Source organism: Homo sapiens, chromosome 19, assembly GCF_000001405.40.
Source record: "Homo sapiens chromosome 19, GRCh38.p14 Primary Assembly".
Taxonomy (NCBI): Eukaryota; Metazoa; Chordata; class Mammalia; order Primates; family Hominidae; genus Homo; species Homo sapiens.
The window spans coordinates 18,986,426-19,009,018 of record NC_000019.10 but is presented as its reverse complement, the minus strand read 5'-3'; the positions used below and the strand labels follow the sequence as shown (position 1 = coordinate 19,009,018).

General features: G+C 52.3%; 1 protein-coding gene across 40 annotated transcripts in view, besides 1 other annotated feature; it reads left to right on the top strand.

Annotated features, from left to right (window-relative positions):
• The window catches only part of SUGP2 (SURP and G-patch domain containing 2), a 42,958-nt gene extending 24,826 nt beyond the window's left edge, over window positions 1-18,132 (top strand). For 4 of the 40 annotated variants that reach the window (XM_047438023.1, XM_024451307.2, XM_047438022.1 and 1 more), the window contains exons 6-9: window positions 591-702; window positions 4,373-4,851; window positions 7,345-7,406; window positions 13,739-18,126. In XM_047438023.1, the coding sequence (XP_047293979.1) occupies window positions 591-702; window positions 4,373-4,851; window positions 7,345-7,406; window positions 13,739-14,026 (941 nt within the window). In that variant the 3' untranslated portion in view covers window positions 14,027-18,126. Of the gene's footprint in view, window positions 1-590; window positions 703-4,372; window positions 4,852-5,410; window positions 5,524-7,344; window positions 7,407-10,033; window positions 10,096-13,738 lie in introns of those variants that run through there. The other 36 variants (XR_001753576.3, XR_007066526.1, XR_007066515.1 and 33 more) reach the window with 23 other exon arrangements.
• Window positions 18,632-19,132: an enhancer, noted in NCBI's record as "H3K4me1 hESC enhancer chr19:19100696-19101196 (GRCh37/hg19 assembly coordinates)". NCBI's record gives its function as "activates a minimal SCP1, AML or CMV promoter by ChIP-STARR-seq in naive H9 embryonic stem cells {active_cell/tissue: H9 hESC(naive)}" and the evidence as "EXISTENCE:reporter gene assay evidence [ECO:0000049][PMID:30033119]".

Sequence of the window (22,593 nt, the reverse complement as noted above, 5' to 3'; positions counted from 1 at the left end):
AATCGCTTGAACCCGGGAGGCGGAGGTTGCATTGAGCCAAGATCTCACCACTGCACTCCAGCCTGGGCGACAGAGCAAGACTCCATCTCAAAAAAAAACCAAACAAACCAACCAGGAGGCGTCCGGTATTGTGAATTTGCCAGTGGCTGGGTCATCTGCTGAGCTAGCCCACACATGTCTGCGGTCAGTGGCAGGTGTCCAGGCTGTCAGCTGAGATGATGGTGTGGCTGGGCCACATGCCTGTCATCCCCCCAGCAGCCAGCCCATGTTTGTTCACCTGGCAATTGGGGTTGGGGCTTCAGGAGAGACAGTGGAAGTACTCAAGTCCTCCAAGGCCCAGGCTTGGAACTGGCAATGGGCTTTTCCACCACATTCTATAGCTGATGTGAGTCCCAGGACCAGCCCTGATTCAAGGTGGGGATACACAGAGTTCACTTCTTGGTGACAAAGGGTCCACATGTGACGAAGGGCAAGGCTACAGGGAGGGGACATGCAGGCCATCTTTATAATCAGCCTCCACAACCCTGCAGTGTTTACACGGGGAGCAGCAGCTCAGGAGTCATGCCTGACAGGTGCTTTATGTTTTGTAGTTGACATGAAGACAATGGAGACTGCAGAGAAACTGGCTAGATTTGTTGCTCAGGTGGGACCAGAGATCGAACAATTCAGCATAGAAAACAGCACCGATAACCCTGACCTGTGGTACGTACCCCCCCGGGTCTCATCACACCTTTTTCTTTCTCAGAGAGACAAAGTCTAAGGATGTTGCTTAGGCTGGATTTGAATTCCTGGGCTCAAGTGATCCTCCTGTTTCAGCCTCCAGAGTAGCTGGGACCACAGGTGTGCTCCACTGCAACTGGCCATTACACCCTTTAGATTTGAGTGTGTTCACGCCACAAGCATGTCCTGAGCCAGCCCACAGCCTGGCCAATGCATTCCTACTATGGGGGTTATACCAGGAGTAAGTCATGACTTCACTTCAGCTGAGCCAGGGGCCTAAGGGAGAAAGATCTGTTCTAATCACCCGAGTTCAGGAGTTCGAGACCAGCCTGGCCACCATGCTAAAACCCCATCTCTACAAAAATACAAAAATTAGCCGGGCATGGTGGCAAGCACCTGTAATCCCAGCTGCTTGGGAGGCTGAGGCATGAGAATCGCTTAAACCCGGGAGGCGGAGGTTTCAGTGAGCTGAGATTGAGCCACTGCATTCCAGCCTGGGCAACAGAGCGAGACTTCATCTCCAAAAAAAAAAAAAAAAAAAAAGGCTAGGTGCAATGGCTCATGCTTGTAATCCCCGCACTTTGGGAGGCTGAGGCGGGTGGATCATGAGGTCAGGCATTTGAGACCAGCCTTGCCAACATAGTGAAACCCCGTCTCTATACTAAAAATAAAAAAAATTAGCCGGGTGTAGTGGCAGGTGCCTGTAATCCCAGCTACTCGGGGGAGGCTGAGGCAGGAGAATTGCTTGAACCTGGGAGGCGGAGGTTGCAGTGAGCCGAGATCGCGCCATTGCACTCCAGCCTGGGCAACAAGAGTGAAACTCCATCTCAAAAAAAAAAAATCTGTTCTAGGGGACCTGCCTTCATCTCGGGCATCAGGAAAAACCTCCCCAGAGGGACATTTAATCTGCATCCAAAGGCTAAATAGGAGTTGGCCAGGGGAGGGGAGAGAGGTGAGGATTTGCTGCTCACTGCATGATAGTAGTGATAGTCAGCCCTTGCCCAGGTCTGACAGCAGGCACTTCTACACAGGGATAAGGTGGCGTGCTCATGCTGGGAGCAGGTACCTTTGCCCTCTCCATTCCTTGGATAGGTGGAGCTCAGCTCAAAAGCACACAGCCCATAGGCAAGAAAACCTGGGTGAGGAGCCAGCACTGCCCCTGGGGTTTTTCCCCGGGGTGACATGAGATGTCCCCTCCAGAGAAAGGCTGCCGGTAGGAGGCACCCATCTTCCCATTACTGAGCCAGAACCCTACTGAGGGGGCTCTCAACTCCTCGTGCTGGTCCTAGCTTGTTGGACAGTCATGCCTTCATCCAGTTAAAATTACAGTTGAAAACGTGCATTTCTCAGAGCATTTATGGGATTCAGTGGTGACAGAACATACTCTTTCAACTTGCTTGGGACCTGATTGCACAAGCCAAGCCCTACTCCCCTCCGCAGCCTTGGCTTATGACTGGGTCCTGCACTAAGGTACCACCTGCCTTGTGGGGCACTGACCACCTACAGACGGGAAGCCTGACCAGGCTTACAGTCAGGTTTTGCCTTTTACAGGCAGTAGTGGCCTTGGGGAGCTGCTGGGCCCTGTAGACCTCGGGGTCGGACCTGTCCACTGTGTATGTGGGATTTCCTCTGGCAGGGTTGGATAAGGAGGACAGCTCAGTGCAGGGCAGCTGGGGGCATCCCATGAGTCCTTTTTTCTTTTTCACTTTCTTTTTTTTCAATGAAAAGTACAGTTTAAAGGAGAATTTTGCATTAGCCTGGGTACTTGGGCTGTAGTACTTGTTGGGTTTTGGGTGATTCCTCCCCATCTGTGACAGCCTTTTCTGAGCAGTGTCCTTCAGAGTACTCTGTCCTGTCCTTCCCTGGAAGGAGAGCCCTGGATCCTGACCACAATACTGGGCAAGGTGTTGGACGCTATCCAGCCATGCTTGTAAATGGGCCAAGATGACTTTGTGTTTCTTTTGCCTTTAGAAAAAATTTAATTCTAATGTGCTCAAGCTTATTGAGTTAATTCATTTTGTGGGTGTGGTTATGTTATAAAGTTGTCATACAATCCGTTTTATTTATTTATTTATTTTTGAGACGGAATTTCACTCTGTCGCCCAAGCTGGAGTGCAGTGGTGTGATCTCAGCTCACTGCAACCTCCGCCTCTCGGGTTCAAGCGATTCTCCTGCCTCAGATTCCCAAGTAGCTGGGATTACAGGTGTCACCCAGCTAATTTTTGTATTTTTAGTAGAGACGGGGTTTCACCATGTTGGCCAGGCTAGTCTTGGATTCCTGACCTCAGGTGATCTGCCTGCCTCAGCCTCCCAAAATGTGCTGGGAGGCATGAGCCACCATGCCCGGCCCAGATTCATTTGTTTCTGCTGATATTTAGTTGTATGTGTGTGTGGTGTGTGTGTGTGGTGTGTGTGTGTGTGTGTGTGTGTGTGTGTGTGTGTGTGTGTGTGTGTTTGTTAGCCTGGTATAGTGGCATTTGCCTGTGGTCCTAACTACTTGGGTGGCTGATGTAGGAAGATTTCTTGAGCCCAGGAGTTTGAGGCTGCAGTGAGCTGTGATCACACCACTGCACTCTAGCCTGGACGACAGAGTGAGACCCCATCTCTAAAAATGTGTAATAATAATTATAAAGCCGTCCAGCTTTTCCAATACCATTCTTTGAAAGACCCACCCCTTTTTTGTAGTAGTTTGAGAGGTTACCTTAATCAAATGCTGGGTTTCTGGTCTTTCTATTCTGTTCCTTTGGTCTGCCTTATGGACTACTATGCTGTTTAACTCTAGAGGCTTTGGGGCATTTTATAGTGCTTGGTGGGGCTGGAACCCCTTATGAGTCTTGTTCAGAGTTTTCCCAGATACTCTTACATATTATTTTTCTTTATGAACTTTAGAACCATCTTGCCCTGATTCAGAATGGGATTTTATTGGGATATATTAATATGCTAACTGGGGGGACTTGGCACATTTATGAGGTTGAGTTGCCTTACGAGGGCCATTTTTCCTTTGGTCCAAGTGGACTTTGGTGCTTTCGGGAGTGTTTCAAGTTTCTCATACCAGCCACAGCTTCATAGCTGTGGTTACAAGTCGAGGTGGCCACCAGACCCCTGAGGCACAGAGAGGCCTCATCTCCACGCCCATGTAGGTGGACTGCAGGCCCCAGAGCGGGAAGTGCTAGGGGTGAGGAGCCTCCTCGGGGGGCACCTTACGGTTCCATGGTGCACATGTTCCAGCAGTAACTGTGCAGCTCCTCCTGGCATCGCTCCATGCTTCTCATACCTGGGAGGAACCAGAGTCAAAATGGGCACATGGAGGCCCAGAGAGGCCAGTGATGTAACCAGAAAGGGTGAGATGGGTCTCAAGCCAGATCTCTATTCCAGCATTTTCCCAAGCCCTGCATACCTTGTTCGTCCGCCTCTGTCCCCTGGAAAGCAGTTAGGCTTCTTGAATTCTAGCTCCTTATTAAGTTACTAGTACTCCTCAAATTTTCTATCATTGAGAGGCTGCACCATCAAGCCATAGCCGCGTAGAGACTGGTCAGGTTATTCTTTCCCTTGTCCCACCTCCACCTTCCTTGGATCAATCCCAGCAGTTTCAGCAAATAAAAATGTTGAGAGATTCCATCTGGTTACCCAATGTATTTCCTCTGTGCCCCAGGTTTCTACATGACCAAAATAGTTCTGCTTTCAAATTCTATCGAAAGAAAGTGTTTGAACTATGTCCATCAATTTGTTTCACGTCATCTCCGCACAACCTTCACACTGGTGGTGGTGACACCACGGGTTCTCAGGAGAGCCCCGTGGACCTCATGGAAGGGGAAGCAGAGTTTGAAGACGAGCCCCCTCCGCGGGAGGCTGAGCTGGAGAGCCCAGAGGTGATGCCTGAGGAGGAGGACGAGGACGATGAGGATGGGGGAGAGGAGGCCCCCGCTCCTGGAGGGGCGGGCAAGTCTGAGGGCAGCACCCCTGCCGACGGCCTTCCCGGCGAGGCTGCCGAGGACGACCTGGCTGGAGCACCTGCCTTGTCACAGGCCTCCTCAGGTACCTGCTTCCCTCGGAAGAGGATCAGCAGCAAGTCATTGAAGGTTGGCATGATTCCAGCTCCCAAGAGAGTGTGTCTCATCCAGGAGCCAAAAGGTGAGTGCCCGCCTGTCGGCACAGTTGCCTCTAGCACAGTTCTTGGTTGGTGGGCTGTGAGAGTTAGAAGAGACAGGTGGAGACATTTTAATCCAAAAGAGTTTTGTGCACCACTCCAAAATGTGAGCCGACACTCATGTTTCCCAGTGGTCTGAAGGCATTGCTCTAAGGACATGTTTCCTTGCTACCCTGTGGCTTCTGGCACTCTACTTGCTGCTGGACATTTCCCTGATTGCCTGGATTCAGGTCGGGGCATCCCCAACTGTGGAGGGGATGGGCCTGGGTCATCTCAGCTGTTTTCCTGCCTGTGACTTTGTCAGCTGGGGGCCCTTCTGAGCCCCTGGAAGGCCCAGGGTGCTGATAAGCTGCTTCATGTCATGACAGTGAGATGGGAACAGAGCAGGGGTGGTCCCAGGCAGTGGTCAGTGGGACCTGCCTCGGCCATGAGAGGCCATCTCCTGCTCTCCTGTGGGGAGGTTCCGGGTTCTTGAGGTATAATTTACCAGCAGTGAAACGCACCCTTTTCAAGTGGACCATTTGAATTTTGTTGACTGTGCAGAGGCGAGAACCCACCAGTACAGCAGAGCTGAAGCCTGTTCCCAGAACGGGTCTCTTGTCCCATTGCAGTCCCCTGCCCGATTCAGCAACCACTGACTGTTTTCCAAGCCCCAGGTATTCTATCTTTCCTAGTCTGTCAGTACATAGAATTGCATCGCATGTGGCCTTTTGATGGGCACGCCGTGGCCCAGATGACTCCTGTGCCCCCAATGCCCTCCAAGCTGTCTCCCCACAGTCAGGCCTGGACCGTGCTTTCACATGGGACTTCTGCTGCAAAACCTATGTGTGAAGTTGTAGTGAATGGTGCCCCATTGTGGGACTGTGTTAAACAGTCACCTGTGTGTTCTACATCATTCAGACAGTCACATTTACATGTGACAGTGGCCTTATGGTTTTTCCTGCTTTGGAATAGTCCTCATGTTTTGTGTTTGAAAAATTTGGTGTTGCAGTGAAATGCTAACCATTCTACTATAACCTTTACCATCCTTCAAAACTTCTCATGGGGCCAGGCGCAGTGGCTCGTGCCTGTAATCCCAGCTTAGCGGGACTGAGGCAAGAGGATCGCTTGAGCCCGGGAGCTTGAGACCAGCCTGGGCAAGATGGCCAGACCTAATCTTTACAAGAAAAAAAAATTAATGTAAAAAAAATGAAGTAAATAATTAAACTTGTCACGGATGGCAGGTAGTGTATCAGAGTGCTTGTTATGTATGCTCTTCTTGGGGGGAGGTGGAGTTTTTTATTTCTGCATTAGAAGCTCTCAGTTCTTTGGGTAGTTGATGAGATAAAAACCAGACCTGCGCCGGGTGTGCTGGCTCACACCTGTAATCCCAGCACTCTGGGAGGCCAAGGCGGGAGGATCGCCTTTGGTCGGGAGTTTGAGACCAGCCTGACCAACATGGAGATATCCCATCTCTACTAAAAATACAGAATTAGCGAGGCGTGGTGACGCATTCCTGAAATCCCAGCTACTCGGGAGGCTGAGGCTGGAGAATCGCTTGAACCTGGGAGGTGAAGGTTGCAGTGAGCTGAGATCACACCACTGCACTCCAGCCTGGGCAACAAGAGCGAAACTGTGTCTCAAAAAAAAAAAAAAAAAAAAAAAAACAGACTTGCTAATCTCCCTTTCATAAAAAATAGAATAAAATGATATGATGTGGTTCTCTATATGAGAAGCATGGTTGTTTTTCACTAGAAAGTTTTAGGCAGACTTTAATTCTTTTTTTTTTTTTGAGATGGACTCTTGTTCTTGTCGCCCAGGCTGGAGTGCAGTGGCACAATCTCGGCTCACTACAACCTCTGCCTCCCGGGTTCAAGTTATTCTCCTGCCTCAGCCTCCTGAATAGCTGGGATTGCAGGCTCCCGCCACCACGCCTGGCTAGTTTTTGTACTTTTAGTAGAGACGGGGTTTCGCCATGCTGGCCAGGCTGGTCTCGAACTCCTAACCTCGGGTGATCCGCCCATCTCGGCCTCCCAAAGTGATGGGATTACAGGCATGAGCCACTGCGCCTGGCCAGACTTTAATTATTTCCCAGTGAATTAGCTGCAGATAAACTAGGAGGGCACAGTATCACAAATATTTTGTTGAAGCAAAATATATTTCTGTAGTCATGGAAAATAATCCATGTATTGGATCTTTTGTTATAAATGTGGGGACTCTTAGGTTTGAATAGACTTTCCAAAAGCAAGGCACCGCTCAGTGAACCCTTCATTATGGCCCAAGCTGCCTACCCTGAGCGTGTCCCGTCTCTGCTCACTCCAGGGGTCATACATGTTCATTCTTGAGAGGAGCTGGGGCTCAGCAGCTGCCATGCAGAGCCTAAGACACCTTCTGTCATCAGAGAACTGTTAGCCAAAATAGACTGCAAGATCTTCAGTCTCTAAGTAATTTAGGAAAAGCACATGTATGTGTATGTGTCTCTTTCTTTTGTCTTCTAGTCCATGAACCAGTTCGAATTGCCTATGACAGGCCTCGGGGTCGTCCCATGTCCAAAAAGAAGGTGAGCGTAATCATTGGTAGTCCTCACTCAAAGTATAGTTGGTTAGAATTTGTTGGAGTTCCAAAGGATGCTGCAGCTTGTGATTAAGCTGTGCTAACATTTCAAACTGAGGTATTAATGTGTAAAACACAACAGAGACTTTTCTCTTGGGAGGGCTTTTGAAAACTGTTTTGCCTTTGTCCAAAGCATAGACTAGTGATTCATCTGTGTAATGGATAGTTGAGATCCCTGTAATGGATGCAGTGGGATTTGAGAGATAAACGAGATAATGTCTTGGCCCTTAAGAAGTTCAAGCTAGGCCAGGTGTGGTGGCTCACGCCTGTAATCCCAGCACTTTGGGAGGCAGAGGGCGGGTGGATCACAAGGTCAGGAGATCGAGACCATCCTGGCTAACACGATGAAACCCCGTCTCTACTAAAAATACAAAAAATTAGCCGGGCATGGTGGCAGGCGCCTGTAGTCCCAGCCACTCAGGAGGCTGAGGCAGGAGAATGGCATGAATCTGGGAGGCAGAGCTTGCAGTGAGCCGAGATCGCGCCACTGCACTCCAGCCTGGGCGACAGAGTGAGACTCCGTCTCAAAAAAAAAAAAAAAAGAAGTTCAAGCTAAGGCCGATTGGGTGTCTTACACTTGTGATCCCAGCAGTTTAGGAGGCCAAAGTGGGCAGATCGCTTGAGTCCAAGAGTTTAAGACCAGCCTGGGCAATAGGCAAAACCCTGTCTCTGCAAAAAATACAAAAATTAGTTGGGCATGGTGGTGCATGCCTGTAGTCCCAGCTACTCTGGAGGCTGAGGTGGAAGGATCATTTGGGCCTGAGAGGTCGTGGCTGCAGTGAGCTGATTGCACCACTGCACCCCAGCTTGGGCGACAGACTGAGAGCCTGTCTCAAAAAAAAAAAAAAAGTTCAAGTTATCCAGGTGCACTGATTCACGCCTGTAATCCCAGTGCTTTGGGAGGCCAAGACAGGGGGATCACTTGAGCCCAGGAGTTTGAGGCCAGCCTGGGCAACATAGTGAGACCTATGTCTCCTCCTGGTCTCCTTAAAAAATAAAACATAAAAACTTACAAGCTTAGTAGACTGGAAGGGTGGTGAAGAGAGTTCACTAATCTGCTAGTAAGCAGAGCGTGGTGTGTGCGGTCAGCACCTCCTACGTGCCAGGTCCCGACTGTCCACCTGGAGGCAGCAGCAAGCAGGGCCAACAGTGAAAGAGAAATGGATGAGGCAGTCCTGGGGATGCTGTGGGCAAAGAGAAGCAGGTCAAAGAGAGGGAGAATAAGGTGGGGTCGAGGGGATGCCGCTGAATTGGGAAAGCCAAGGGAGGTCTCTCTTGCAGATGACGTTGGCACAAGCCTGGAGGAGCTGAGGAGAAACAGTGTAGAGATCTGAGAAGGGCACAGCCTCGGTAGAGAGGCTGGGGCAGCAAGAGGCCTTTGTGGCAGCAGAGGAATCCGGGGGGTGGTCACACAGGACCTCAACAGATGTTAACGCTGTGGCCCTTTCTCAGGGAAGGGAGGGTACCTCTGGGACCTGTGGTGGATGTGGCCACTAGGGTGGAGAGCAGCCTGTGGGCGGGAACCAGGAGGAGGCTCAAACTTAAGACAGTTGGACCAGGGCATGAGGAGCAATGAGAAGGGGAGAAGATGGAGTGGGTGACACCTGCTTGTGGGCTGGGTGTGCAAAAGCCAGGAGTCCAGATGACCCCAGGGTTGTCAGCTTGGGCAGAAGAGGGACAGAACTGCCATTCACTGACCTGGAGCCAGGTTATGGAAAGGGGGCAGGTACACTCCAGATGGCCTGGGGGACACAGTGCTGGGGGCAAGCAGGGTCACCTGGGACACATGTGGAGAGACTTCACCAGTCCTTCATGGTCAGGGAGGAGGGCGGGGAGCCAGGCGAGATCGCTCTGCTGGTGTCAGGCAGTGCCATGTTGCTTCCAACCCCTTCCGAGTGACCTAGGTCAGTCTGACCCCAATTATGGCAGGAAGGAGGGACCTTCCCGAGTCCAGAGCTCATAGTCCTTACTGATGTGCCAGGTTTTAGGCTGAGCTGGCATCTGGTGCCCCTTGGTGTGGCCTGGATAAGGGCACGGCCAGATGAGGGCACAGCAGGACCTTGGTGTCAGGCACAGCTGTACTCTAGCTCAGCCCTGCCACCGAGTAGTTTTGTAACCTTGGCGTGTAACCCCTGAGCCACGGATTTGTCTGTAAAATGGGATGGCCACACTTACCCAGCAGGTAGGAGGTACAGTGAGGATTAAACTGAACGCGGTTCCTGGTGGGTGTCCTGCACATGCTGCTGTCTCCTTGGGGCTCTGCACCTGTCCTCCTGTCTGCCAGTGACTGTGGGTGGAAGGGAGGCCGTGGTGGCTGCAGCTTTCCTCTGCAAACCTCCACCTCGCCCACAGGGCTTGGCTTTCCTCCAGCTGTCCAGGAAACCACCATCATGATTGTTAAACACAGATTTGAACATTCACGAAGAAACTTCCAGGCTGAGCCAAACCCTCTTCCTCCCACTGCACCTCCAAGCAGCCTTCCTGAAAGGGAAAAGAGTACAGACCTGCCCTCTGGGGACCCCTGTGCCCTGCCATGACCAGCCTTTCCCCTTCCTTCCCTACCCGTCATCCCAGGGCCCAGGTCGTGCACAGCTCCCAGAAGGGCCTGACGGATGCCCCGTTTCTCATCTCAGCCGGTGGGTTCTGTCACCTCTTTTCTCCAGGCCACTTTCTCATGGCAAGGGGCCCCCCAGTGTAGCAGGTCCTGTCTGGTGTCCCCTGGTTTGCAGGGGTGTCTCTTCACTGTTTGTGCCCCTCTTCCTGTCCCAGCCCATAGCATAGCTCCTCCCTTCATACCTCCCCTCCTTAACTGCCCTGCAGAGACACTTCTGCCCACACCGCCTCACCAAGACCACCTCATGCCATTATGGAGGGGCCGCCTGCATCCAGTAACTCACGCACACACACAAGATACACACATGTGCACGCATATGCACACACACATGCATACACACACGCACACACACATGCATACACACACACAGCTACTTTATATAATACCCTCGGAGATGCCTCTGAAGAGAACAAAGGGAATTTCCCTCCGCCTTTGAAGGTCCAAGTCTAAGCCTGTTGAAATGAACTGACAATAAGAAGATTAACAGGATAAAAAAAGGTGTGCGGTGGCTTACACCTGTAATCCCGGGACTTTGGAAGGCCAAGGCAGGGGGATCACTTGAGCCCGGGAGTTCAAGACTGCAGTGAGCCATGATGGAGCCACTGCACTCCAGCCTGGGTGACAGAGCAAGATCCTGTCTTGAAACAAAAAAGTTATACATATTTATTCACGTGCATAAGCACAGGAGCCATATAAAACATTATGAAAACTCAAAGAAGGGCCAGGTGGTTGAAGCTGAAATACCTCTTTGTAGGGGAGAGGGCAGATGGGAGGCTGTAGGTAACTTTAGAGGGGAAGCAGATGATTTTAGGAGAGATGAATGGAGGCAGGCATCATCTTGTGAATGATCCTCATTGAGAATTGAATGGGACTAGAGAACAGCCAGTGGTCTGGGCTCTAGGTGTGGTGTTTAATGTTCCATCTCTTCTTGTGTGATAGGAGTTTTCAACTCTGGTTAATGACATTTCAGGGAAGGGATCCAAGGCCCTTGTGTTCTTCTTTGGCAAGTCCAGTTTCTAGGTAGATAGGGAACTTGAAGAAAACAGCTTCCTCCTGTGCTTTGGGAGGGACCTTGAGGCTGCTACTTTAGTCCCACCTGTCAAAGTGCTATAATTCGGGGTATCGCTTTCTTTCTTTCTTTCTTTTTTTTTTTTTTTTTTTTTGAGACGGAGTCTCCCTTTGTCGCCAAGGCTGGAGTGCAATGGCATGATCTCAACTCACTGCAACCTCTGCCTCCCAGGTTCAAGGGATTCTCCTGCCTCAGCCTCCAGAGTAGCTGGGATTACAGGGGCGTGCCACCACACCTGGCTAATTTTTGTATTTTTAGTAGAGATGGGGATTCACCATGTTGGTCAGGCTGGTCTCAAACTCCTGACATCGTGATCCACGCACCTTGGCCTCCCAAAGTGCTGGGACTACAGGCGTGAGCCACCGCGCCCAGCCTTAGGGTATCCGTTTCTGACCCCCTACATCTTGCTGCATGTTGAGTTCTCAGCACCTCTCCAGGTTGTTTTGTCCCTTTCTAGGGTGAGAACACTGAGGCCCCAGGAGCTCCAGAGGCCCAGGCCTTCCTTATGGGAGCACTTGCTCTCTCCTCCCTCCCTCCCTCCTGACCTGAGGCCCTGCTCTCTCCCTTCTCCCTTTCCTCTCCCAGCCCCTGGCTCCCCCAGGCTCAGCCTTTTGTGCCTTGTCTCCAAGCTCCTTTGTCTCTGGAGTGCCTCCCACATGCACCCCTAACGTTAGGGAAGCTGATTCCTGGGCACCTCAATGCAGATGGCAAGGGGGGGATTTGTCTTTTGGTTGAATTATACCTCGTGAGGCCTGCATGACATCATGGGGCAGGTTGCTAAGCTGATGAGGGCTGACTGCCCAAAGACCTGAGCTCACAGCACTCAGCATGCCCTTCTCACCCTGCTTCCCATGCCCAGGGTCATCTAACCCTCTCCCAGCCACTCCCACCTGTCCCCTGCTCAGACCCCCAGCACCAGCCCCCGTGATCCTCCTCAGCACCTTCCTCCCTCCCTCTCAAGAGCACATGAACCCTCACAGCCTCCCCAGGTCGTTCAGTAAATGCCTTAAATAAATACATCAGCCAGGCGCAGTGGCTCATGCCTGTAATCCCAGCACTTTGTGAGGCTGAGGCGGGCAGATCAGCTGAGGTCAGGAGTTTGATCAAGACCAGCATGGTTAACATGGCGAAACCCCGTCTCTACTAAAAATACAAAAATAGGTGGGCGTGGTGGCACACGCCTGTAATCTCAGCTACTCGGGAGGCTGAAGCAGGAGAATCGCTTGAACCCAGGAGGCGGAGGTTACAATGAGTTGAGATTGCATCACTGCACTCCAGCCTGGGCAACAGAGCAAGACTCCGTCTTAAAAAAAAAAAAACATCAAAAGCTGGGTGCAGTGGCACATACCTATAGTTCCAGTTAATGGGGAGACTGAGGTGGGAGGATCACTTAAAGCCGGGAATCCGAGACCAGCCTGGGCAACATAGCAAGACTCTATATTTAAAAAAAACACACACAAGTTTTGTATTTTGTTTCTTTTTTTAGACAGTCTCATTGTGTTGCCCAGGCTGGAATGCAGTGGCACGGTCTCCGCTCACTGCAACCTCTGCCTCCCAGGTTCAGGCGATTCTCATGCCTCCGCCTCACAAGTAGCTGGGATTACAGGTGCCTGCCACCATGCCTGGCTAATTTTTGTATTTTAGTAGAGACGGGGTTTTGCCACGTTGGCCAGGCTGGTCTGGAACTCCTGACCTCCAGTGATCCACCCACCTCGGCCTCCCAAACTGCTGAGATTACAGGCATGAGCCACCACGCCCAGCCCACCCACACAAGTTGACTCGTGAAGAGCCAAGGAATACATGGCAAGGTCTTGGACTGCCCAGCTGGGCTCTGTCACACAGCAGTGTGTCATGAATATTCATGAGTGAATAGAAATTCCTTCTGCTACAGCCCTGCAGGCTCCTCCTCCAGAGGCCCCAGGGCCCTGTCTGTCTCCAGATCTCCATCTAGTGGCCCAGAGATTGCTGCACTTCCCCACCACCCACAGGAGCAATCAACAGCTGTACTAGCTCTCAGTGAGGTCTGCTCTGTGCTAGACACAGACCCCAATGTCCAAGTAGAACTCAGTCCTGAGGACAGACAGACAATGCAGCCAGGGAGTGAATGAAGCACTCGGGGAGGGGTATGTTGGGGTGGTTCAGGGAGGGTGCTGCCAGCCAGTTCTCACCCACTGTCTGGCCCCCATCCTGCCTGCAGGCCTGTGCCCTGGTGCCCCCCACTCTTCCCTGGGCTGCGCCCTGTGGTCATCACAGGGCCACCCTTCTTTATCCAGGGTTCCGCTGAGGGCCTTCCTACTGACTCCTTGACCCCGGGACTGGCCATTCCCTTACCCAGTTTTCCTCACAGTCTTGGCACCAGGGTTATAGTGGTAGCTGAGAGGCACGACTGACCTCAGGCCAGTGACCTCTGACTTAGAAGTTCCATCCCACCCAGGGATGTTGCAGAGAACTGGGGAAGTGACTGGAGCTTGAGCCTGAGCATCTGGGGAGTCAGGAGGGCATTTGGGGGTGAGGGGCTCCAGGCATAGCCTAGGACAGACCCTTGATCCAGGCATCTCCCTGTGGCCCACATGCCTGGACTCTCCTCTCTCCTCAGAAACCCAAGGACTTGGACTTCGCCCAGCAGAAGCTGACCGATAAGAACCTGGGCTTCCAGATGCTGCAGAAGATGGGCTGGAAGGAGGGCCATGGCCTGGGCTCCCTCGGAAAGGGCATCAGGGAGCCGGTCAGCGTGTACGCAGCAGGCAGCCTGGGGTGGGAGTGGGTGGGGCCTCAGTCCTTCCACCTGCAGCCTGCCGCTTGGCTCCTTCACAGCCAAGATGGCTTACAGCTGGCAGTTGATTTTTGTTTTTTAAACAGAAGGCATCTTCAGATGAGAAGCTGATCATTTACATGTGCAGGTGTTTACAGGGCTCCTTTCTGTCCTGGTGTAGATTTTTTAACCAGCTTGTTGGCCCTGGTCATTTTGGCCACATTTGTGACCATCATAAAAGCTAAGTGGTATTTCTGTGTAGTTTCCGTCTGGAACTGCTTTCCCATTCCCGGGAACCCATAGCCGGGCCAGCCAGGGTCCCGAACACAGGCCCAAAGTTTATTAAACCCCGATCATAACCTCCAGCAGGCATTTCATTTAATACTGAGCTTAGTTCCTGCTGGGTAAGGCATTCCGAGGTAACCAGGGCCCTCTGGGCACCCCCTCAAAAGCCAGCTCTTCGAGGGTGAGTACTCCTTGTTTCTACTGTGAGTCGCGTCTTGATTTTCCCTTTCTTTGATGTCTCAGTGTGTGTCCCAAACACCTGCATCTCATGGACTGTTTGTGCCCATGCCCAGTTCCTGGCATGCCAGGCCCTGGGCTCAGGTGCACAACTGACTCTCTTTTTCACTCCCTAGGGGAACCCCCTCGGAAGGGGAAGGGTTGGGTGCTGACGGGCAGGAGCACAAAGAAGACACATTCGATGTGTTCCGACAGAGGATGATGCAGATGTACAGACACAAGCGGGCCAACAAATAGGTATGTTCACAGGCCAGTGTGTAAGGCCGTCTGCCCTCGCTGGCGTGCTGGTATGCAGAGAAATTTCCCCCAACAAAGTTGATGTTCCCTGCTCCCCCAAAAATGCCACACACAAAAAAAATCACAAAATTCTGTGAGGGAAACAAAAGGGTCTATGGATGTGGATATGCCCCATTCTTACCTTCCAGGTTTGCTGAAGGAGCAAACCTCACACTGGCCAAGGGCAGATGCGCATGGCCTGCCTGGTGCCCCGGCTGTGAGCCCCTCAAGGCCTCCAGGCCAGCCTCCGTGGATGTGCGTGTGGAAATAGGCCACGCCTGTCTCTTCTCTTGCTCAAGTTTTCTCTCACAGATGACAGCCACCTACCACATAACATGACCAGCAAACGGACTGTTCCTAGTCCAGAGGGCCTTGCCATCATGCAAGTGGAAGGGCGACTGTGACAGCCACTGCCACAGAGGATGGCAGTTGGCTGTGTCCCTTTGTGAGGGTCTTCAAATCCTTTTCCTTCTGCAGGGCCTTGGGCCTGTAAATATCCTCATCTTTCTATTCTTTTTTTTTTTTAGTTGCCCCCTCACCTAATTTCCACCTCAGTTTTGAACAAAATCGTTCTCTTCCTGAATAGATCAAAACCACTGATGTGAAAGATAAGCCTTGAAGCAGCAATTGCCCTTAAAACATCATCCCTGCCCTGGATCGGCCTGGAGCCAGTGCCCAAGTACGGTTTGGTGTGTACATGAAAACAAACGTCTCTGCAGTCTCTGGGGCGGAGGTTTCGCTGGCTTTTCTTTCTCTCAAAGAAAAAAACATGCACCATTTTCAATGTGCTTTTGCCTCTCCTCTCTGTTCACATGCTTTTAGCAGCAAGTCCCCTCCAAATCTGTCTTGGTTCCCCTTCAGAAGGTGGCGCTGCCCCCGAAAGGCACCTCAGCCTGTGAGTGCTGAGGAACCAGCTCCTCTGGCTGATTTTCCAGTTGGACTGGCCATTGCTCTCCAGAAGTGCTCTGTTAGCAAACGTGATGTGGAAACGATCACAGATGGTGTTTTCTCGTTGTTCGCCAGAATTTATACGGGGGAGACAAATTCCCGGTAATTACCAAGTCTGCACTCGGGTACCAAAGCTCTGAAGCTCTCTGAACAGTTGCCATACTTGAGTTGATGAATGTGTTATTCATGGTGTCTCATCTCATCAATGCATCTTGAGAGACTTAATGAAATTTTAGCAACAGTATAGAATAGCTCTATCGGGTGGGGAGTAATCATTAAACAGATGAAATCGGCCCCAGATTTACATGTCTCTTTAGAATCCACAGTGTAAGCAAACTACAGTTACAAAGGGATGGGGGTTGTAAACCCTCTGAGACTCTGCACTTTTCGCACGTATGGCATCGTCAAGTGCTGTCTTATTACAGCCTTTGTAAGGAGAGGCAGGCTCCTCCTGGGGTGGGCTCTGCAGCTGCTCTATTTCCAGGCATGTGATCGCCCCCGCTCTCCAGATTCCCCAGCACTCTGCTGCGTGTAACTCCACTCAATTCTCCACTCATCCTTCCTTGTGAAGCAGGATCGTTGAAGTTTTAAGTATGGGCAAAAATCTGGAAAACTTAGGATCCCTCTGACACCCCAGGATTAGGGGACACAGCAGTGGCTAGGGCATCAGCCACAGAACTGAGCGGGAAATGCCACTTGTATTGGCTGTAAAGAAATCCTGGCTTTGGGCCAGGCACAGTGGCTCAAGCCTGTAATCCCAGCACTTTAGGAGGTTGAGGCGGATGGATCACCTGAGGTCAGGAGTTTGAGACCAGCCTGGCCAACATGGTGTAACCCCGTCTCTACTAAAAATACAAAAAAATTAGCCAGGCGTGGTAGCGGGCACCTGTAATCCCAGCTACTCAGGAGGCTGAGGCAGGAGAATCACTTGAACCGGGGAGGCAGAGGTTGCAGTGAGCTGAGATCATGCCACTCCACTCCAGCCTGGGCGACAGAGCAAGACTCCATCTCCAAAAAAAAAAAAAAAAAAGGCCGGCACGGTGACTCACGCCTATAATTCCAGCACTTTGGGAGGCCGAGGCAGGTGGATCACGAGGTCAAGAGATCGAGACCATCCTGGCCAACATGGTGAAACCCTGTCTCTACTAAAAATGCAAAAAATTAGCTGGGCGTGGTGGCGGGCGCTTGTAGTCCCAGCTACTCAGGAGGCTGAGGCAGGAGAATCACTTGAACCCGGGAGGCGGAGGTTGCAGTGAGCCGAGATTGTGCCACCGCACTCCAGCCTGGCAACAGAGCGAGACTCTGTCTCAAAAAAAAAAAAGGAAATCCTGGCTTTCTTTAAGCCACAGACTTCCTAGGCTGTGGTCCCAGCTCCTTGTCTGCCTGGTCCCTGTCACCTTGCAGTGCCACCACCCCCAGGGGCTCTGCTTGCTTCCAGTGGCTTCTGTAGCTTTGGCAACTGGCAGATCTTTATGGCAGTAGAGGTGCCAGCATGGAGGATGGAGTTTGGGTTTATAACCCAACCCTCGAACGAACCAGCCTGTGGGGGCCTGGAGTGGAGCTGGTTTTGGGGAGTCACAGGTGCGGGGGGTTCATCTTCTCCTTTCTCCTTCTCCTTTCCTGACCCCTCCGACAGCTTCCATGTTGGCCATGGGTCAGGTGAATGGATGGAGCTCCAAGCGGGGCTCAGCCCATTGACCCGAGCGAGGCGCACACACCTGCAGCGTGGATCAAGCGCACTCTCTCCAGCATCGCCCTGACCATTCCATGTGCTTTGTCCTAGCATGTTCATTCTTGACTTTCTCCACTTCATTTTATTAAAAAGTTAAATGCTTTAGGAATCTGTGGCGTGTGGCCACTGACCGCCCCCCACCTCCTGCCGCTCCTCCAAGTTTGAGCTGAGATGGTTCTGTGAGTCCTTGGCAGGGGTCAAAGGGCACATCTCCTTGAACCTAGAAAGCCCCCTACACTCTCAGAGGACACCTCTCCTGTGGATTCAGCGCTGGGGCAGTGAAGGTGTCGGGAGCCAGCAGAGCATGGTGCGTGCTGCCAGCTGCCGGCCAGCCGGGATAGAGGAGATGCCACTGGCCCTCCGTGCCCCCAGCCCCTCCCTCTTAACCGAGGCTGTCCTTGCTCTCTGCAGAGGCCGCTCTGCAGGATCCTCGTGTCGCGCGTGATGTGTGGTGGCACAGCCGTGTCAAAGTCACAGTGTCTTTTCTGTCGTTCTAGTTCCAGGGTCACCCCCGAGAGGACAACAGGCATCTGGAAGTGCTCTCTCGCCACTCTGGGTGCTTTACTGTCTCTGGCTTGTTTCCATCACTGGAAATCACTTAGAGAATTGTAGTGTTTTTGGTCCTTGATAAAGCCTAGAAGACATTTGTGATGTTACAAAATGGAAGTTTTCTTTTGTTTCTGTTTTTTAAGATCTAAGAAGTTGTGAATGTTGTTAATCATTTAGCCGTTGCAATAAATGTAGAGGAAATGCAGTGTGCTGGGGTCTCCATGGCTGTGTTTTTAAAATCAGATCAGACACCAGCGCACGCAGATGGGAGTGCAGTGTAGAACCAGATGATGGCTGCCTCCCAGGACGTGCCCTCCGCCGGCGTGGTGCTCCTCCCTCGGGCCCCTCCTCACTGGCTTGCCCCACCTGAGGGACCTTGTGTCACTGTCACCAGGAAAGCTTGGAAGATGCCAGAGAGCAGGAAGGGACCAAGCACCCACCAGAGGGAGGGCAATTCCCTTCTGGGGAGGCTGGGGAGGGTAATCGGTACCGCCAAGTACAGAAGCTGCCTTTGAGGGGTGTCAGGGCAGTGGGAGCTGTGCCCCTGCTGCCTACGACTCACCTGTCCCCACAGGGCTTTGCCCCATCATCCCAGGGCTGGGGTTCCAGCTGCCAGAGTAAAACCAGAGCCTGCCTGGGCCACCCTCTGACTGCAGAGCTGCCTCTCTGTCATCTTCACACTCCCTGCTGTCCCTGGGTGCTGCCAGCCTGCCCATGGTTCCTCTGTCAACAGCCCCTTGGCCCTCCAGGTGAGGAGGGGCGTGCAGAGGGCACAGCAGAGACCAAGGCAGCACCCAGGGGGCCTGCAGGGGCCTCTGCCTGACCAGGGTGAGGAGGGGAGGAGCCAGACTGCAGGGAGGGGGAAGGCACTGTGCCCAGGGCAGGTGATGCTCATGTAGAAAGGTCCCTGTGGGCAGCTTAGCGGGAGCCTTGAGACAGAGCCCTTAGGAAGCTGAGGCAGGACCCCCAGCCTCACTTCTACCGTGTCCCGGGGGAAGCTATTGCCAGCCAAGACCCTCACCCTGCCTTCATCTTAGCGATGTCTAACCGCTAGCTTCAGTGGCACTCCCTGAGAAAGGCCGGAGCCTGCAGGGAAAATGTGGGGCTCACCTGCAGGGGGTGAGGAACCACCAGGAATTTCTCTTCAGTAGTGGAACCCTTCTTCCCCTAGTTCCTCTTAATATCACCCTAAGGCCGGTCAGGGTGTCTTAGGAGGACAGGAGGAGTGGTGTCCAGCCCAGGATGCCTGTCCTGGCGTTGACCCAGGCAGGTCACTTGATCTCAGGCCTCAGTTTCCCCTCTACAGACTGGGAAGGATCTCATTTGGAAGGTAAAATCTCCCCTGCTGCCTTGTACTAGGTTGGTGCAAAAGTAATGGCAAAACCTTCAATTACTTTTCCACCAACCTAATAATTTAGGACTAAGTGGAACCACAAGATCCCTGTCATGGCCTTTCTCCTCCCTGGAGCTTCCTTGGGGCAAGACAGGCAGAAGGCGCTGCCAAGAAGCCCCAGTAGCAAAAGCAAGGTGTGGCTTCAGTCCAGGCCTTTGCTGTGCATGCATGCCCACGTACAGATGTGCGCGCATGCATGTTCAAGCAGCACGCGAGGACGTTTTCCTTGTAAAAGATGAAAAACCAAACCCAGATGTATGCGGAATGGAGCACAGAGGCTTTCTCCTCCCATAAGTCAAAACAAATGACAGGACACTCCAAGGGTGCCACTCGGAGACTGCCTTCCTCTCCCCACAGGCTGTCTCAGCAGTCTCCATGGCCCGTGGGAAAAGAGCAGGTATTGGGTTGGCTTCAGAGGATATTCCACATGTAAACAATCGTAGGCACAATCGTGTTTTAGATGGAACCTTTAAAATGCAAATTATACTTCAAGTTCTATTCTGCTCCCTGCTTTTTTTCACTTAAAAAATTTCTGAGGCTGGGCGCGGTGGCTCACGCCTGTAATCCCAGCACTTTGGGAGGTGGAGGTGGGCAGATCACCTGAGGTTGGGAGTTCAAGACCAGCCTGACCAACATGGAGAAACCTCATCTATACTAAAAATACAAAAGTTAGCCAGGCATGGTGGCGCATGCCTGTCATCCCAGCTACTCGGGAGGCTGAGGCAGGAGAATCGCTTGAACCCTGGAGGCAGAGGTTGCGTTTAGCCGAGATCGCGCCACTGCACTCCAGCCTGGGCAACAAGAGCGACCCTTGGTCTCAAAAAAAAAAAAAAAAAATTCTGAAGCCATGTGTGGCAGCCTGTGCTTGTAATCCCAGCTACTGGAGAGGCTGAGGTGGGAGGATCACTTGAGCCCAGGATTGGAGGCTGTGGTGAATTGAGATTGCATCACAGTACTCCAGCCTGGGCAACCCTATATCTAAAAATACAAACCTGAAATAAACTTACATATACACATGTATGTATGATGGCTTGTCATTTAGCTAACAGGTTCTCCACGCCTAGCCATTTGGGTTTGGGCCCTACATCCTAGAATGGGCTTCTTTGTGGACAAAGTCCAGGAAATAGCATATGAGAACAAAGGGTCCTCCTGAGGGTCTCCTCACCTTGCTGCCTCCCTCCACACAGTTCATGTGCCATCTAACTTTGGGGTGACCCTGCTGATGTCCCAATTCCCTAGTTTCCCTGCCTCTCCGGGACAGTGGGGGCTGTGGTTCCTGCAGGTGTCTCTGGCAGGCACTGGCCCTTAGGCTGGGCTCCAATGCCAGCTTCACCCCCCAAACCCTGACCTCTTGGGATATGGACCTGACTGCTGACTCTCTCTACCTCCTCCAGGTCCCTCAACTCTGTCCCTGTCACCCCCACCCTGTCACCAGCCCCACCTCAACAGTGCAGGAGCCTGTGGTGGTTTGGGGTCACCGTGTTCCCTGAGGGGCCCAGCCAGGCCTCTATCTCCCCTGTGTCCACATACTACCCCAATGCCCACCCATGGTGGAGGGTGGTGTTTTGAGGGCCAGAGATGTGCCAGCAACAGGGACGCTATTACTGACCCTCTGCTCACAGTCAGTCCTCCCCGAGGTGGTCAAGCGGTGGGACCCTCCACGCCTGCATTTTCTCCAGTGAAATGTAGCCAACAGCTTGCAGGGTTAAATACATACGGTTACCCAGGACCTCTCTTAGAGGGTTCAGAGGGACTGGTCTTGTTACCGACTGATCCTTTCACATCCCACCCGCTTGGGCCTCAGTTTTCCCTCGTGAGGATCCCCAAGCCCTTCTCAGCTCCCCTTGCCCACCCCTCCCTGGCCAGCCTGAGGGTTGGGTGGCCCCCAAACTCTACCACATTCCATAGAGGAGCTATCCAGGGAAAGAGTGGTAAGTTGTCACAAGTCCCCCCATCCCCATATGTTTGGGGGATTAATCCCCCCCAAGGGTTTGGGGGATTAATCCCCATCATATGTTCGGGGGATTAAGGGCTGGGCAGAGGTAGGAGCCGGGGATGATTAATGAATGCTGGGGCTGCAGCCTAGGCAACATAGGGAGGCTCCACCTCTACAAAAAGAAACGTTTTTGTTAGCAGGGCATGATAGTCCCACCTGTAGTCCCAGCTCCTCGGGAGGCTGAGGTTGAAGGATTGCTTGAGCCAGGGAGCTGGAGGCTGCAGTGAGCTATGAATGCACCACTGCAGCCCAGCCTGGACGACAGAGCAAGACCCTGCCGCCAACCCCCAACACACACAAAAAAGAGAATTAAAGGAGCTCACAAAATTTCAGCCTCAAGGCCCACAGCACAGACCATATACTGAGATAAATCTGATCGTCATTGGCCTCTCTGGACTCCAGTGCTCTCATCCGGGGAGGATCAGCCCATTTCCCAATGGAAAAACTGAGGCCTGGGGCAGTCTGACTCCAGAGCTTGAATTCTAAACATCAGTATCCGGATTTCCAGTTGGTTTCATCTGATTTAGAAGCTCCCTATATACACACACTTGCGTACACATGGACACACCCTGTGCAACGCCATGTGCGAATGCGTGCACACATGCACATACATACACAGAGACATGCACACGTATGCACACAGACATACACACATGCATAGGTCTACACGGTGCTTCTATTTCCCACGAAGTCCATACTCATGGCCCTGAGAACTTTAACACTCAGGAATTGCGGCTCTGTAATGACTGGCACTATCCGCTTCCTTCACAGCCCAGGAGGGGGACCTCACGAGCTGAGCTTTTCTTGGCTGAATTTTTCTCCAGCGAATCCTCAGGTTGGACTCATGGGAGCACCAACTCCCAGTTCTTGCAGCTTGTGGCCAGGTGTGAAAAGGGGAGCGTTAGCCTCGAGATTTCAGCTTCCACGCCTTCATGACTTGCTTTTGCCAGGAGGAAAGCAAACCTTAAGAATTTGAATCCTCAGTCCTAACATGTCCTCTCTGTGCTGTGTAACCTGGGGCGGGTGATCCACATCTCTGAGTGTCAGCTTCCTCATTTGCAAATGGGGAGAACAGTAGCATCTACAGAAGGGTTCTTAGGAGCAGCACCCGCATGCTGTGAACTCAGACATCGCTGATCTGTTTCCATTGTTCTGTGTCAGTGGACCCAGTCCTTGAGGCATCCCATTGGCTGACTCCTCCTCCTTAAAACAAAGGCCAGGCGTGGTGGCTCACGCCTGTAATCCCAGCACTTTGGGAGGCCGAGGCAGGCAGATCACCTGAG